General features: G+C 38.1%; 1 protein-coding gene across 1 annotated transcript in view; it reads right to left on the reverse strand.

Moving 5' to 3' along the window:
* Window positions 17,888–18,991, reverse strand: part of MRPL3 (mitochondrial ribosomal protein L3) — a 40,760-nt gene continuing 39,656 nt past the window's right edge. The window contains exon 10 of the mRNA NM_007208.4: window positions 17,888–18,551. Within this exon, the coding sequence (NP_009139.1) occupies window positions 18,399–18,551 (153 nt within the window). The 3' untranslated portion in view covers window positions 17,888–18,398. The remainder of the gene's footprint in view (window positions 18,552–18,991) is intronic.

Here is an 18,991-nt window from a genome sequence, read left to right on the forward strand (position 1 = left end):
AGCCACTTCTAAACAAACAGCAGTAGTGTCAACTTACCTGGCCTTCCTCTGCCGCCAGCCCCAGGCGGTCATGTTTGCCTAACCGAATACTGGAAGTTCTGCTTTCTCCATCACACCTTTAGTTCCATCTCAAACTTCTCTTCCCTTCCCCAGATTTTAACACTGCTCAGCATTACCACCAGGAAAATATCCTGCATCATCTGTCCTACAAGCCCCACAATATGTGTGAGCAGTCTGATACTGCCCAAGTTCATGAACCTCAAGTGGTGTGATTTTTCTCCAGCAATGTTCAGCTGCTGAGGCCAGGCCTGGAGAAGATGAAAAGCCAGGCTTTGCTTTCAATAAGATCAGTGCATATGAGATAAGGCAGATGAGCTAGAACAGAAAATAGTGGTCAAAGAAAGGAGTGTATGAAATCAAGAATTTGGAGTTTTATTCAACAATTCTATCGTGAGTGGCCACTATATGCCAGGAGAATTCTATGATTAAGTTACTTTGTAAATCTTGTCTAGAAGGAGGACAGAATAGACCAAGGCTAAAGTTGGAAGTGTCAAAGAAGCAGAAGTCACTCACATTAGCTAGAATGTGGGATGTTTGGTCATTTTTGTGATTTGGACAATGTTCATGCTTCGTGTTCAGACATGATTACAGTGTGGTCTTGTTTTGTTTTGATCCATCAGGGTCACTGAGTGGCCTTCTCTGATGTTGTTTTTCTGTGAAAGAGTTGTGTTCGACAGGAGAACACCAAGGCCCAGCTGATAGTACCAGGCCAGCTTCCAGGTGTCAAGGACTGCTTTTCGCTTTTGTCACCCCTTAGAACTAACCACACATTAAGAGAAAGAAAATTCCAGTTTTAAATAAACTGGCTTTACTAGTCTCATGAAAACATTTGAATTTTACTTATTATAGGTACAGTCTAGAGACACATAGTCTCAGAGTCTGACCTACTTTAAAACTGTGATAATCTTTGGGGGATTAGCTCGTGGACGCTAAATAAATTACTTTTAAATTCCATTATAGTTGCTGTGGTTTTAAAATAACAACATACTTTGTATTTTCATGACCTGTATATTGGTTTTCCTTCCTCCCCCAACAGCATTCCTGCTATTTTAGCAAACAAATGCATCTAGAAACAACGTATGATTCCCCAAATCGTACTATTCAGGGGAAAAATAAAATAAAATGTTAATGCTAGAAGGAAGATATCAGGATCCCAACCATCGTCAAAGTCACCAAGCTACAGTGGAAGCATAAAAAGCTGATCCTAGGTCTCCAGACTCCTTGCTTTAGTTGGACAGCCTGATACTTGGGTGGGCAGAGACATTTTCTGTCTGGTTACTGTTGTATTTCCACTGCCTAGGATGTTGCTGGATAAATTATACGTGTTCAATAAATGAATACATAAAATTTTTTGATAAACAAAGCACTTTTTTCTTTTTTTCTTCTTTTTTGAGACGGAGTTTTGCTCTTGTTGCCCAGGCTGCAGTGCAATAGTGTGATCTCGGCTCACTGCAACCTCCGCCTCCTGGGTTCAAGCGATTCTCCTGCCTCAGCCTTCCTGAGTAGCTGGGATTACAGGCACCTGCCACCATGCCTGGCTAATTTTTGTATTGTTAGTAGAGACAGGTTTTCTCCATGTTGGTCAGCCTTGTCTTGAAATCCCAACCTCAGGTGATCCGCCCTCCTCAGCCTCCCAAAGTGCTAGGATTACAGGCAGGAGCCACTGCCCCCGGCAAACAAAGCACTTTTCTAGAAAGTCAGTGATTTGGAGCTGTAAGGTACTTTAGACCCTGTTATTCAAAATATGCTCTGTTGGCCAGCAGCATCAGCATCACCTGCTAAACTGTTAGAAAAGTGGAATCTCAGGCTCCACCCAAAATTACTGAATCAGAATCTGCATTTTATTTAACAAATTCTCAAGTGATAAATAGGGATGTGAAAGTTTGAGAAGTACTGCTATAGACATCATCTATGTTTCTCAATCTTGGCTGCATATCACTGTAAGGAGCTTTTAAAATATATGAATACTTAGGCTCTATCTCCAAAGAACTTGATGTTCAGCCAGGATTGAGGACCACTGATTGCAGCCCAATATCCTGTGTAACTGAGTTACTTAACCTTTCTGTGCCTGTTTTCTTATGTGTTAAATGGAGCTACCAATATCCTCTAGCCAAAGATCATAAGGAATACACTGTAATTAAACAGTCCCTTCAGTGGCTTGCTGCAGTAAGGAAAATGCCACATCAAAAGAGGCCATGAGGCATTTCCGAAACAATATGTTAGGGTAAGGCTGTTTACAGGAATATGAACTTGTGTTAGGTGATGTGGGAGAGAATTCAAAGTATTGTTTTGCTCTGAATTGAGTGCTGTCTAGAAGTGGGAGCAATTCTATTACGCCTTAATAATTTTTATATAGGAGATGAGAGGAATAAAGCAAGTTAAAGGCTGTAATTTGTGAACAAGTAATCACTCATATTAGCTAAAAGAGGGGGATATTTGGTCATTTTTAATGGGTTGGATTGTTCTTGTTTTTTCTGTGTTTGGACACAACTTTAGAGAGACCTTATTTTTGTCTTGCTCCATTATGGTCAGAGTAGCCTAGTCTGCTGTTGGTGTACATGAAATTGTTTGTGTCCAACATGTAATAACTATAACAGTTGTTGATAAAAGATTTTACTTTTTTTTTTTTTAAGGGACAGGGTCTCACTCTGTTGCTCAGGCTGGAGTATGGTGACATGATCATAGCTCACTGTAACCTTGAACTCTTGGGCTCAAGTGATCCTCCCACCTCAGCCTCCCAAGTAGCTAGGACTACAGGTACATGCCACCATGCCCAGCTAATTTTTTTTTTTTTTTTTGGTAGAGATGGGGGTCTTGCTATGTTGCGCATGCTGGTCTCAAGCTCCTGGACTCAAGTTATCCTCCCACCTTGGCCTCCAAAAGTACTGGAATTACAGGCATGAGCCATTGCACCCAGCCCTTTTTTTTTGTATTATTATTTAGTGTTCCTCTTTATCTCTGCTAACAGTTTTTGCTTACACTGTCTGATGTCAATCTTGCTACAACCAGCTTTCTTTTTGTTAATATTTTCTTGATACACATAGTTTTCCTTTCAAAGTATTTTAAACCCTTCTTTGTGGTTTTAGGAGATCTCTCATTAATGACATCTAGCTGGTATTTCTTTAATCTCACAATCTCGATCTTTTATAAGTAAATTTAATCCATTTACATTTATTATAGTTTGTATGACTTTCTCAGTACTATCTTCTTTCTTAATTCTCCTTTTAGTCATCTAAAGTTTGTATTAAATATTTTTTTTCATTTCTAGCATTTTAAATTCTTCATGGAAATCCATTCGTTTCCTATCTGCCTATTTTTATTTTGTAATTTCTTGCTATGTTGAATAAAATTTAGTTTTATTTACCTCCTTGAGCATCTGTTTTAGTTCACTCCTACTGCTATAAAAATATCTAAGATTGGGTAATTTATAAAAAACAGAAATCTATTTTTATTCACAGTTCTGGAGGCTGAACAGTTAAAAATCAAGGGGTTGGCAGATTTGGTGTCTGGTGAGGGCTGCTCTCTGCTTCCAAGATATCACTTCCTTATGTGTCTTCACATGGAAAAAGGGGGCAAATAGCTCCCTTGAACCTCAAACCGATCAGGGTGCTGATCTTGTTCATGAGGGCTTTGTCCTCATCACTTAGTCACCTCCTAAAGGTCCCACCTCTTAATATTATCACTTTGGCAGTTAAGTTTCAACATATTGATTTTAGGAAGACATATTCAGACCATAGCAGCATTCTAAACATATTAAGACTTTTGTTGAACTCTTGCATAAATTAATTTTATATGGAAGACATTTGTTCTGTTGATCACATTGGCTTTTTTTTTTTTTTTTTTTTTTGAGACAGTTTCACTCTGTCACCCAGGCTGGAGTGCAATGGCACGATCTTGACTCACTGCAACCTCTGCCTCCTGGGTTCAAGCTATTCTCCTGCTTCAGCCTCCTGAGTAGCTGGGATTACAAGTGCCCTCCACCATGCCCAGCTAATGTTTTTATTTTTAGTAGAGACAGGGTTTCACTGTTTTGGCCAGGCTGGTCTTGAGCTCCTGACCTCAAGTGATCCGCCCGCCTCGGCCTCCCAAAGTTCTGGGATTATAGGCATGAGCCACCGCTCCTGACCCATATTGGCTCTTTCTTTGCATTGATTTTTTATGTTTTAGAATTTGGATTTTGAATGGGAGATATTTTATTTCCTCTTAACAATGTATTTTCTGGGCCGGGTGTGGTGGCTCATGCCTGGAATCCCAGCACTTTGGGAGGCAGAGGCGGGTGGATCACGAGGTCAGGATATCGAGATCATCGTGGCTAAAATGGTGAAACCCTGTCTCTACTAAAAATACCACAAATGAGCCAGGCATGGTGGCACGCACCTGTAGTCCCAGCTCTCAGGAGGCTGAGGCAGGAGATTCGCTTGAACCCAGGAGGTGGAAGTTGTAGTGAGCCAAGATCGTGCCACTGCACTCCAGCTTGGGTGATAGAGCGAGACTCCATCTCAAAAAAAAAAAAAAAAAAAAAAGGCAGTATTTTCTATTTGTCTTTATATTTCAATGCTCGTCTGTCCTTATTTGATGTTTGCATAGTTGCTTCTATCTGGCTTCTGAGCCTGCAGTACAAAATGGCCTCAAGGGATCCTGACCTTTAGTGATACTGAAGACTTTGCAATTCCTGTTACTGAGCCAATGAAAACTTATCCCTTAGGTGTCATAAAATTTCGAAGGTGATCTCCCACATCCTCAGGCAAGCAAATGCCATAGGCAGCAGTACAGTTTTTCTTTCTTGTCTTCATTTGATGTAGATGTTGGAGTGGTGAAATTCCTTCTGAACCTCTGGCTTCATGCAACAAGTTTGGCTTTGGTCTCTCCTCTTGGGTGAAGCATTTTGGTCCCCTTAAATCCCACTGCTACCATTTTTCTTCTTACCTATGTCCTAGGAGTCTTGTGCTTCAGTTTATTCTCTGCTTTATGTTTTTTTTTTTCCTTTTATGGTTTATCTTGTTGTGAAACATGGCTATGTCTATTTTTATACTTAATCTATCACTGCTATGTTTTGAAGCAAAGGAGGTGCAAAAAAAACATGATCTCATTTCACTTTGTTCAGAAGTCCCAACTTGCCATTCTTAATATTACTCTGTTACATAATCCTATAAGTATATAAGCTCCTGGAAGGCAGGGGCTATGAGCTCCACATCATGGTCTCCCCAGAGTTAGTACAATGTCCAGGACATGGGAGAGGTCCTCCATAAATGCTGATTTGAGTTTGTTGACTTGGTAGGTGCCAGCCTTATCTCGAAGCCTCATGTTTTGAGAATCTATCACTACAGTCCTTTTTAAAAGCCTCTTCTCAGAGAGAGATGTTCATTTATTTCTTTATCTATAGGTGTTAATTTTTTAGTTCTATATTTGTGCATTAAAAAGAAGATCAAACTAGTCTCAAAGGCCTCACAAACCTAAAAGCTTACATAAATGGTCAAAGAAGATAAATTTGGAAGAAGTATGCTGTATATTTCCCTTTCCCTCCAACTTCTAAATTTCCTTTCCAATCCTAGCTCAAGTCTCCCGGATATCTTTCCTAAGCAACTCTTCTGACAATCCTGACTTAGAATCCCTTCAGCAACGGTGGGTAAAGGTATATTATTATTATTCTATTGTGCATGGTTCTATGGTACTTTAAAATAGTTGCTTCACCTATAAAGTTTTGAGGCAAATTTTGAAGTTTTTCTTCGGCACCATTCTATTACTCACTTTTGAGCCCATCTGACAGCCCTTCATTATATCCCTTACTTTCCATTTCCACCCTTCCATACACGACTTGCTCTTAACAGACAATTAATAAAAAATATTTTAAATTCATTTTGAACTGAGATATAGCATATATAAGTGCATAAGTTTTAAGTGAACACAATAAAATTTTACATATAAACATATACATTCACGTAGTCATTACCCAGATAGAGATACAGAGCATTTCCAACATTACAGATGGCTCCTGTGAGCTCCTTCCCAGTCAATATCCTCTCCTCTGTGGAAGTAACTTGCCAATTTCAATTCTGATCTCTAGTACTACATATTAGTTCTGCCTGTTCTTGAACTTCATATAAAATATTAGTTTTGCCTATTCTTGAACTTCATATAAATGGAACCATAACTGTATGTATTTCTAAACTTTAGAAATAATTTAAAACTTACACACAAGTTGCAATAATAGTACAGTGCATTCATATGCCCTTTGCTCAGATTTATGTATTGGTAATATTTTGCCTTTATTTGCTTTATTATTTACTTTACTACCTACCTATATATCTCTATCATCTACCTAAATATTTTTTTCTGAGCCTCTTCTTGAACATTTGAGAATAACTAAGTTGTATATCCCATATCTATTTACCTCTATATACCTTCAGTGTGCATTTTCTAAAAATAAGAGTTTCTCTTATATAACCATAGTAGGGTTATCAAGTAAACATTGATAACATTTTTATCTAAAGTACATATTCTGGATTTACCAATTGATCCAATACAGGATTCAGTCTAGCATCAGGTATTACATTTAGTTGTCATGGCTCCCTAATCTCTTTTAATCTGGTATAGTCTTCTGTTTGGTCTTTTATGACATTTAACATTTTTGAAGAAATTCTCTTTTTCTTTTCGTGGGATTTGCCTGATATTTCTTAATGATTACATCTGGGTTATGCATTCCCAGCTGGGATATTACATAAGTGATGTTATGTCTTTGGTGTCTCATATCTGGTGACAAATGATGTTCATTTGTCCCTCATTTGACATATTAATTTTGTTCACTTAGTAATCATTGTATAGTTAGAATTTTCCTCTTTCAACTAATAAGCAAGCTGTGGGGAGACACTTTAAGACCATACACATATCCTGCTCCCCAACAAAATCTATCCCTCCCTAATCCTAGATTTAGTATCCATTGATGATTCTTATGTGAACCAATCTTTATCATGATGGTTGCAAAATAATGAAGTTAATAATAAAGTTGGATTTTCCAACTCTAACACCCCTACTATATTTATTAGTTGGTACTCAACATTCTACTGTAATCGACAGTCCTCCCTTTTCTCTTGTTTATTTATTATTATGGGTATGAACTCCGGATTCCTGTTTTCCAAGTTTAAAAATAGTAAGCTGACCTTTAAAAGTATTTTTCTCTACTTGTTCTATTTTTAAAATCTACTTATTGTTGTGCTAGTACCACATGCACTTTGTTCTTTCTCAAGACAGAGTCTATCGTTTAGAGTCTGGAAAGATAAATCTTGACCCTATTACGTATTATTCTGGATGAATTTTAGAACCACTTTTACAAAATTATACCCCCCATGCCTTTTCTACTCATGGCTCTCCTCAACGCTGGTGGAATATGGCATTGTGTTGAACCTACAAATTAACTTAGAAATAACAGGGAATTTTGTGGTATGCAGTCTCTTCATCAGCAACAGGTCTGCTCTCCATTTATTAAAGTTTTAATCTGACCAACATTTCTAATGGGCATATCTTCTGTAATACGCATAGGGTACATGGATGTGCTATTGGCTTGTAAGATTCTAGAATGATCTTAAACTTTTACAAGAATATCACTATGGTGTTGAAGTCAACCGAGAGAAAATCAAACAATCAAGGAAATAAAAAGATGAAGATGAAGAAGATTCTATGTTCATTTCATCCATTTACCAAATAAGCCTTCTGGAAGTTCTAGATGTCATTTGCCAGGCACTGTACTAGACATGGGGATGCAGAAGGGAAACCAGAACAGAGAAAAGCAAATAAAATAACTAGGTGGATCAAATAATAGTAGAAAGCCCTGCTTAACACAGCAGGTAGTAAAGTGCTTGTTGGAATATTATCAATAGTTTGATGAGATTTAATGTTGTATGATTAATTCATAATTTGTTAATTTACAGTCTAGAAAAACTGTACACAAAAAGGAAATGCCAGTATATCATACATTAAAGAAAATTCTCTTGAGAAAAATATAATTTAAAATCTGGAGACTTTTCCTCAGAGCTCCACTCTATATTCTGCCCCATGGGACAGAACTACCTGGAAAAGGCAGGGACTTCCATGGCATCAACTGAAAGCATGCAGACCTTGGCTTTCTGTGTTCTGCAATAAGCAATTATCAGACACCAGTGAAAACTACAAATGGGTTCAACGTGCATGCTGCTCCCTTCTTTAGCCTTTAACAGCTTCTCAGCATCTCTTAGGAGTCTGTCATCTCTGTTTAGAAACGTCAGTTTGTGTTACTAGAAGCACTGGCAGAATCAGAGACCCTGGAATGTGCCCTAGATCACTGTCTACAGATTAGGCTTGAACCCTCAGATGCAAGCTTCATTCATAGCGGGGAGAAATGGCTGGCACAACTGCTCTGCAGTGCTAATTCTAGCTCTAGGCTCTATCTGTAGTTTAAAGAGATGTTCCCAGGCCATCATTTATTTCTCCTTCCTTTTCTTCATCCTTCCTTCCCACAAGGAAGTATTGGGAAACATGACCTCAAGTATTTTCCTAACTCCTGAATTTAAGTCTTTAGTAAACAAGAATTCAATGAACACTTGTCATGTCCAACTCCTTCTGGATAAATGGGAGGGAATACATTTAAGTAAACTAAAGTGGAACCGAAGAATTACAGTTCCAGTTTCAAATCAGCCACTCGCAAAAGCCTCCAGTCGATCTCCCTTTCTTCCTTCCCGTCTTTTTTTTTTTTTTTTGAGAGAGGGTCAAAGGCGTGCCACCAAGTCTGTCTTTCCTCTCTTTTAAAAGGTGGTTTGATTTGCCATAAAAGACACACATTTGACATTTTTGAAGAATACATTCTCTTCTCTATTTTTTTTGAGCTCACAAGGAGGGGTCAAGGTCGGGGGGTGGGTGACCCCTGGGGATGTGTACATGTGAGGCCACCAAGGAGTGTGGAGAAATACATTTTTTTTTTGGTGGGATTTAATATTTCTCAATGATTAGATCCAGGTTATGCATTCTCAACTGGGAAATTACATAAGTAATGTTATGCTTTAAGGGCAACACGACGTTCAGACACTTTTCTGCTTAATGATAAGAGAAAAGGATCACTAGAGGATTTCTTAAAGTTGGCCAGATCAACCTAATCAGGTTGATTAGGTCAACCTAATTTATCAAGTAAAGAAGAGAAATGACTCATCCATGGATATTCTTCCTAGGTCTGCCTGTCCATGAAGAGACACGCAGAAGTCAAGGGTGCCTCTCTGTCCTGTCCAATGTACCTTACCACTTTGTTAGGTGGAGAGAAAATTGGAACATCGTCCTTAAAAAGCTGCAATAACTCTCTTTAATGTTTGAATCAATCCTTAGATGACTCAGCAGTTTTGGCTTATATGACTTCTTTGATATTCCGGAAACTGTCTTTTAAGAATTTGTCTTCTTAAAGAAAGTTTCAAGAAGGCCATGTGAAAACAAAGGCAGCCACAAGCCAAGGAAAGCCTGGAGCCCCCAAAAGCTGGGAGGCAAAAAGAATCCTCCCCTAGAGCCTTCAGACGTAGCTCTGTAGTACTAATAAGGAAACATTTCCAAGATTAAAAAAAAAAAAAGTTTCACATGTTTTACTGCTCAGAGCTATTTCCAGGTCTAAACAATATCTGTTAGGCCCAGGACCCTTGCTCAAGTCTAATTTTGGAGTTTGTTGAGAGGGTAATTTGACCATCTTGACCAGCAGCCTGGAGTGAAAGGGCAAATGTTTTCCTTATTTTTAATTTATCCTCAACAGCACTCAGCCCCCCCAATACATACTCAACCCTTTTCCCCTCTGAGGATGGTGAAGACAGCCCTGAAAAATATGCAATTTCACTCAAATATAAATAGGAATGGCATCACCCAGAGTTCTGCAGTCCAGTAGGTGAATTGGCCCACCCTCATTCAAGCTCTAGCAATCTTCTTTCAACTGTCTTCCTGGCTCAGGTGATGGGAGAAGAGGGAAGTGGAGAACTTAAAGGACACAATGCACACTTTCTTTTCTTTTGGATACATGGGAGAAACTGCCTCCCAGAAAATTTGTCTATGCCATGTCTTTGGGTATGACACAGGGGAGGGGGATTCATCTCTCCCCAAAGCTTAAGAGAGGGCTTATGCAGCAGCATTCACCAGAATGGCTAGGAAACTTGGGTGACTGGAAGCTGGAGTTCTTCTCAGAATGAATGACTTGGAGTGCAGAGGCAACCTTTAACTCTTAGTCTTACATTAGCCACTCATTAGATATCTGACTCAGAAAAGTTACACAATCTCTGAGTCTCAATGTTCTCATCTATGAAGCAAAGATAACAATTACCTGGCAGGGTGATTGAGGATTAAATGAGAGACCATGTGTGAAACATCTGACAGTGGGTGTTCAATAAATGCCATGTAGTTTTGACTCAAAACTTCAAGTATTAAGGGAGAGTGGCCCTGATGAGGCCTGGGAAGGAGGATTCATTGATTACTAAGTCAACCATTAGGAATCTGCTGGTGCAATGTCATCCTATACTCAAGATTATCCATCTCCACACCAGTTTCTCTGGAGTTGTACTAAAACATTCAGCCATAAAAAGAAAATAACAATCTTGATCTATCCCAGTTTGTAAAAACAGAAACTAAGTTAATGGATAAAACTTTCTTCATTCTCAATTTTTCCTCTCAGTACTCTTTCTTAAACCTTTGAAACTTGGTGCAGATGCAGGACAACCCTAACTTAAAAACTTTAGGCAAGATTGACAGCTTGTTTCACTTGTGATTGTATTATTGATTTGAGATACTAAAGTAACACATTCCTAAAGCAACCTAAAAGAATTCATTATTTATGTGTGAGGCCAATCACAGTTCATAACAGACAAAAACAAATACACTCAACATTTTACAGCATTCTTCAAAGGAAATCATGATTCCCAGGATAGAAGAATATAGGAAAGTGTCCAGTGCCCCAATTTTAGGCTTTGCCAGCCACTTCTTTGGTGAGACTCCAAATAAGTCCTAGACTTGCACTCTGCTTGTTTTCTCAATTATAACACTGGGTTGATGATATCTAACATTTGCAGTTTTACAAGATGCTAAGCATTTTCCTGAGAGCACCCTGACATGAACATAAAAACACCTTAAAATTTAAAATACTATACACATATAAAACATCACTATTACTACATTTGTACAGAATTTTCTCCAATTTGAATTGTTTCAGGGAGATGACCAATTAACTGGCCTGAGTTCCACAAATGATTTGCCTGTCTACGTCATGTTGTTTTAGGTCAGTATTTCTTAATCTCAGCTTATTAGCCCCTCTTCAAATGGGAGTTAAATATTTAACTGGGGAGCTTTAAAAACCACTAATGACTGGGTCTCCTACTCTCTCCTGCCCCCCAATTCCAAGAATATTGGATTGGGGATTTTAAAAGCTCTTCTGTGGGGATCTAACATGCAGCCAGTGTGGAGAACTACTGTGTTAGGTAAGAGTAAGACTTGCCTTTGTAAGCCACTGTGAAAATTCCCTGTGCCTGACATGCCCCCTTCTTGTGTCCCCTTGTGTTTGGGTGGACCTTGTCATAAATACTTATCTCAATGACTCCTGGACCACAGAAACTTGGGCCTCTCTTTATGGCTAAGTGGTGTCTAAAAATGGGCTTTGGATCATTAAATCACAAAATCACACCTTCTTCCCATGGCAGGCATCCTCGTTGGTTACTGGCTAAAGAAAATTACCATGTGAGCAGGGAGATGCTGCCTGTCCCAATATTATAGATCTTTCTTTATTTGCTTTCTATCAGTGCTTTTTTTTTGCCTACTTCCTCAGCTTTGATTTATGTTTTCCTAAATATCTATTTCTTCTGTTCTGTCATTGATATTTTAGCAGTAGGCTGGCTGTTATTAGCAACGTGCCAAACTCTGTTTGAGGAGGGGGAGATAAGCACACCATTACCCCACAAAGTAGGGCATCAGATTCCGTGCTTCTGCAGTTAGCAGAAAAAAAGGGACAGTCAGCCAACAGCTCCAATGCCATCTTTGCTTCATCATTTAAACAAACCACTATTTTAGATAAGGAAATTTACGTTGGATTCTCAAGACAGCCATTTATTATTATTCATTTTGACACAGTCTCGTTAATATAGCCATCCGTGCATCTTTGTCAGGACTCTTGTGATGGAGTGTTTAGTTAGTTCCTTTTGAAATCAAGCAGATTTGGTGCAGTGTCAAAAACTGATGGATGTCTTATCCTCATTTGTTCAAACAACAAACTTTCTAAATGACCTAAAATATACTTGGTGCTCATATAGTCTGCTTTTGGAGAATCAAAATCACAACTCTCACTCTCCAGTCAAATCCAAAAACCAACAATTACGCACCTACTATGCCAAGACTCTTTGTCCAGTTGAGTTAAAATCATTTGTTTGCTTTTGTGGTGCTAAGGACCGCATTCGCTGAAATTAATATGGCCTGTCTAACTTGAACAGGCCACCTCATTAATCTAAAAAGAATAAAACATGTGACATGGACTGCTATTGTTTGCAAACATTTAAAAGCAGAAAAGCAAACGATGAAATTGAGGCTGGCAACCCTGCATGCTCAGGACTGGCTGTTTTCTGGAGGGGATAATGACACTGAGTCCTCTTATTCCAGGGAATCCTAGGTAATTGCTGGAGGCAAAGTCTGAATGACAGTCTTCATTTGTCTGGTGGGACATGCTTTGAGAGACCACTATCATTTATGGGGCCAAGCTGGTGGATGAGGTGTTCTAGCAGAAATAGCAATAAAACTGAAAACTGAAGAACTGTCTGTTGTTATAGTAAAGTCAACTTTAAGAAAAGTCCCTGAAGAGAGTAGAAGCTTTATCTATCACTACTAAAATAAACTCTCATGTGAAGAACTTCTTCCCATAGAGAAAACAGGTAGCCATGAAGTAACACATGATTATAAAGCTATTGAAGATGTTTGCCCAAGGTGGCCTCATAGCATAGTGAGTTGCTTCTGTCTGCCTGTCTTCACTCTCTTGGTTCAGCAGTTCAGTAAGTTATCAGCAACATGCCCTACCTCATCACGAAAGTGCTCCATTATAAAACTGTTCATAAAAGCATGATAAGCAGTAACATGATAAGTACCATAATAGAAACATAACATTCTTCTTGCCATAGTTCCTGCAAAAGTGGGGAAAACTTCCCAAGTGGTGACCTTCAGGCAAAACAGGCAGTAAAAGGCATTTTTAGAATCACACACATCCTACCAAGGGAAAAGAATCAGCCATAGAAAAATAATGTAGCTAGTAGAAGCACATCACACTCCAGGCTAGAAGACAAGTTTGCAAGACTCAGTGCCACAGGAAGCCCACACTGTGTTTCTACTCTGACAAAAATGAGGAATAACACCAACATTTAAAGGTATTCATCCCAGAGGTCCAAATAACAGGTTCAGAGTCAGCAATCTGAACACTGCTCTTTCCTCCCATCATGGGTTTTCACTGTGACACAGCCAACAGTCTCTCTTTGGGCAACGATTTAGGGCGTAGGTTCAATTTTGCTGGAATCAGGAGAGACTTCACTCTGACACACTCTTTCTCAAAGAGGGGTTTTTTGATTAGTACAACAAAATAAGCTACTGGATGTAAGGCAAGTAATCCTACAGACTAACGGAATTCATTCTGCATATGAGGAACCCTAAGTACGAACTCAGCTTCCGTGTGTTTGACTGTATTCTAATACTCTTTACACTAGAAAAACAGGCCATAGTTCTATACACATTTCTCCATATGTCCTGAAACATGGTCAGGTCCCATCTGCAAATTTACCTTTGGAAATTAGCTGTAAAGGTCATCCTTATATTCTACCCCTTGAGGAAAGTTGAAAAGCAGATTTGTACCTCACCATTAGACTGCAAAAGCACTACTGACTCAAAAGCACTACTGATTCTGAAATGCTTAATATTCTTGTAAAGTATATCCTTATACTTGCTGTAAGAAATATTTTCATTTACAACTTAATGTTTGTGACAGCTGGCATCATCCAATTTACCCATGCCAGGGGCCACTGTGGAAATAGGACTAATTAACATTTGCATTTCAGCTTCGGCTACCCTAGCAGGTAGGAAAAAGGTCTTGGAGAGGAAGGATGACCAGTAGTCTAAGTAGTGTAAGGGATACTCTTGAAAGTATTCCTTAATCTGTTGGCCTCTATAAGACTTAGAGAATTATCCAAGGTTCAGTATTTCCATATTTTATTCCTAATAGCTAGTACCAAGTATGCTGGAACAAATGTCTAATTTGAATGAAGTTTAATTACAAAAAGGTTCTCCATTTCAAGACAAAATCTAAAACAGTAAATCAAACTCAAGCTCAACTCAGGCCCAAGACAGCTCCACTGCTGAGAAGTGAATTGCCACCGTATCTGTCCAGTGGTCAGCACTGCTCAAGAGCAGACTTCTAGTACTGCCTGGGATCCAGAGAGTTGAGCAGGAGAGTACTGGGACCATGTACTCCCTATCTATAGTAGGCAGACTTCCATTTCCGAGCTGAACATTTGAGGACAGATGCTGAGGCAAAATGTTTGTGCTGTAGCCAGAAATAGTAACCCTAAGGTTCTTGGGAAATCACATTTTGTAGTGTTGGACTAGGCAGACTGGTTTAGGTATTCCACAACTGGAGAGAAGGACACAGTTCGTCTGGGCCACTCAGTTTGCCAGAATGGAGTCTGGATCCTCTTCAAAGGATATGTACCTGTAGAAGCTGCTGGCAGTGGGGACTGGTTGGGGTTGGGGGGTGAGAGTGAAAGTTTTGTTCCCTGATTCTAGAAGACAGGGATCATACTTGTAATCCTGGAAGGTGATCAGAAATGCTATTTTAAAACTCAAAAACAGATCCACAGACCACCGACTATAGTGAAAGAAGATGGTAAGTTTGGGGCAGGCTCTTTAAGTGCAGAAGGTTGCCTGCCTTCGTCAAAAAATCTTATGTCTGGGCAACTGGCTACCTTCATATACTGATTCCTTTTTCACAAATAATGCAGGTAAAAGATTTTATGTTCTCCCAGAAATAACTGTCCATTTGTCTCGCAAGATAACAGCTCACTGACAATGCACCTAAGTTAGTCAAGAGCTCTGATGAAGATGTACAAGAATAATGTTGTTTCCATGCCTAACACATCTATTCTGTAGTCCATGCATAAACGTGTAATTGTGACTTTCAAACTCTAATTATTTAAGAAATATGTTTTGTAAGGTTACAGTTGCCATAGTCCTTAATATATGAAGTTGCCATAATCCTTCAGGAAAGGATTCACCATTTTAGATGCCATTAAGAACATTCATGATTCATGGGAGAAAGTAAAAATATCAACATTAACAGGTGTTTGGAAGTTGATTCCAACTCTCATGAGTGGCTCTGAGGGGTTCAAGGCTCCAGTGGAGGAATGAACTGCAGAAGTGGAGCCTGAAGATGTGACTGAATTGCTGCCATCTCATGCTAAAACTTGAACAGATAAGGAGGTGCTTCTTATGGATGAGTAAAAGTGGTTTCTTCTTATGGATGAGTAAAGAAAGAGGTTTCTTGAGATTGGATCTACTTATGGTGGAGATGCTGTGAACACTGTTGAAATGACAACAAAGATTTAGAAAATTCCATAAATTTAGTTGTAAGGCAGTAGCAGGGTATGAGAGGATTGACTCAAACTCTGAAAGAAGTTCTACTGTGGGCAAAATGCTATCAAGCAGCATTCCATGCTACAGGGAAATCTTTTGTGAAAGGAAGAGTCAATCAAGTGGCAAAGTCCATTGCCTTATGCTAAGAAACTGCCACAGCCACCCAACCTTCCAGAAACTACCACCCTGATCAGTCAGCAGCCATCAACTTTGAGGCAAGACCCTCTACCACTAAAAAGATTACAACTTGCTAAGGGCTCAGAAGATCTTTGGCATTTTCTGACAATATTTTAAAATTAAGGTATGTATATTTTTAAAGATACAATGCTATTGAAACACACTATAGACTACAGTACAGTATAACTTCTATATGCATCAGGAAACTAAAAATTCTGTGATTTGCTTTATTGTGATATTTGCTTTATTGCCGTGGTCTGAAACCAAACCCACAATATCTCTAAGGTATGTCCGTATAAGTTCCTAAGCATAGTATGGGGGCATATCTAATGTGTACCATTTTAAGTAGTGGCTATTCTTGAATTTACACTTTCACATGAATTTTAGAATCAGTTTGACTAGCTCTAAGTCCTATTGAGAGTTTTAAAACAGGATTCAAATGAATTCTTTACAATATAACCTTCCCATTCATGGCCATGATATTCTGCTCCATTATTGAAGTTTTCTTATCTATCTTTCAAAAAAGAACATAAGACTCTAGCATATTTCTTGTTAGGCTTTCCCTAGGTGATTTTTAATTGCTATTATAAATAAATATCCATTTTTCCCATAAAATATTGCTATATGTTAGTGTATTAATCTTGTACTGTTACCTTTTTCAACTCTATTGGTTCTGATAGCTTGTCAGTTGTCTACCTTTCATCTTCTAGGTAAATATTTCTTACAAATAATGAGATTTGCTCCTACTTTCCAATTTATCTCATTACTTTTACTTGTCTTACTGCACTGGCTAGGACACCCAAGAATACTGTTGAAGAGAAGTTGTAGAGGGTATCCTTGTTTGATCCCTGAAAAGAATTCTTCTAGCATTTTACCCTTGTATATGATGATTACTAGAGATAAACTTTTAACAAGTTAACAAATTTCTAGTTTGATATTTTTTTTTAACCAAATATGGTGTGGTGGTTTTAAATGTAATCTACTCCAGTTAAAGACTATGACACTCTATTATTATCACTAATCAAACTCATGAATAATGAACAGTACATAAAAAATAATGTTATGTTTTACTTTAGCACCCAGGAAGCTCAAAACCAAACTATCTGAATATAACAACTCTGCACAGCATAGCCTGCTCATCTATATGACATTGACACTATTCCCTCCCCCAAAATACCACCTATTCTAATTTATATTATCCTAAATATTTTTCTCTTATTTTTCTATTTTATTGAGTGGATTTCCTATCAATTGCCATACATTTTTAATGGAATAAGATAAAGTATAAATAAAAACTTTAAAAAAACGTGGCTACCTTTGGATTTGAAGTGAAAAACGTGATATAACCAGGACAGTATAGCACATGGAAATCTAACACTATGACTAACAAACGTATTGGGTGATGTGAATTAAGAATCTGGTTCAGAGGAAATCAAGTATTTAAACTGAGGTCTGCTTATACACATGGTTAAGCTTATTTGTCATGACTAGCCATTAGTAAATACATGTTAATTTCATACAATTAAAAAGAAACCCACAAACCATTAGCATTTTGATTAATACATGATTAATAAAAGTTTGCTGAACATACAATCTTAGATCATTATAAATTCTTTTTGAAAGGTAGACTGGGTGCAGTGGCTCACGCCTGTAATCCTGACACTTTGGGAGGCCATGGAAGGTAAAAAGCTTGAACTCAGAAGTTCAAGACCACCCTGGGCAACATAGTGGGATTCTATTTTTACAAAAAAATACAAATATTAGCCAGGCATGGTGGTGGGCACCTATAGTCCCAGATACATGGGAGGCTGAGGTGGAAGGATCACTTGAGCTCAGAAGGTCGTGGCTGCAGTGAGCCAAGATCGCACCACTGCACTGCACTCCAGCCTGGGCAACACAGCAAAACCCTGCCTAAACAGAACAAAACAAAACAAAACCAAAACACACTGATCTTATAATTGAGTGATAAAACTAAAAAGTAATCACCTCTCCCAACAAAAATGTAAACAGGACCGATAATTTATGATTTTATTGTCTTTCCTTTGTCCGGCCTTTAACATGTTTCTGTAATTTAAATAAAAATCTATTTACTTTCTCCATTTTAGCAAATGGTTTCTTTACCCAAATAGGTTGCACTATAGTCCCCATATGGTTTTCTACTGTTCCACAACCACTATTTCACAAAGATTGACAAAACTTTAATAAAAGTTAAATTTACAGACATCTTAAGATAACTTGGGAAATATGTAGTAAAAAAGAATCGAGTCCACAAATTAAGAATATTTTGCTAATATGCCCAACACCAATTTCAGCAAATCCAATCTACTTAACTCATATATTTAATGTGGTAATTTTTCTAACAAAATTTAATGGGGGTATGAATGATATATTTATGCCCTTGACAAAGATGACATGTGTGATTTTGTTGTGACTAAGAAAGGAGAGTATGATTTCTGGTGGTTATGATATCACTCTGGCTCATCGAAGCTCACAGAATATGTAAGGTTCTGCCACGTCCAAAGATGTTAGGCAAATGTAATAGAAGGCGCACCGGGCTGACACACGTTTTCATCATACAAATCTTCTGGCAGTTCCTCTTCATCTCCATCAGGAAAATATGTAGGGAATGGTAGATTTTTACCGAGATCCTTATATGCAGGCAGTTTAGAATCTTTGACCTGAGAGAAGGCAAAAATCTTAGTGAAACCAATTAAGTTCTTTAAAGGTAGACTTTTCAGCTATTATTCATAATCAAAGAAATACTCGCTACTACATTTTCTAATGTGAATAACACAACTGTTACATAAATAGAGTAAAAAGAACTCAGTCAATGCTTTCCTTTAATTCTAAAAAATTTGACTAATCCAGTAACAGAAACTCAAGAAGCTATAAGGATAAAATCACCAATTGTTACTTTGTATCTTAACTTGTAAGAATCTCTAGGATTGCCCACAGGATGAAATCACATTCTAAAATTACTACTTGAATTTCATTTATATGGATTCATTTTCAAATATAATGACCTGACAAACTAGCATTTTTGTTAGTCTTAACTCTAAGAGCACATAATCAAAAATATCACCTCTTATTAAGGAAATCAGCTTACATTTTTCTTCCC

This window comes from Homo sapiens, chromosome 3 (assembly GCF_000001405.40).
Source record: "Homo sapiens chromosome 3, GRCh38.p14 Primary Assembly".
NCBI lineage: Eukaryota > Metazoa > Chordata > Mammalia > Primates > Hominidae > Homo > Homo sapiens.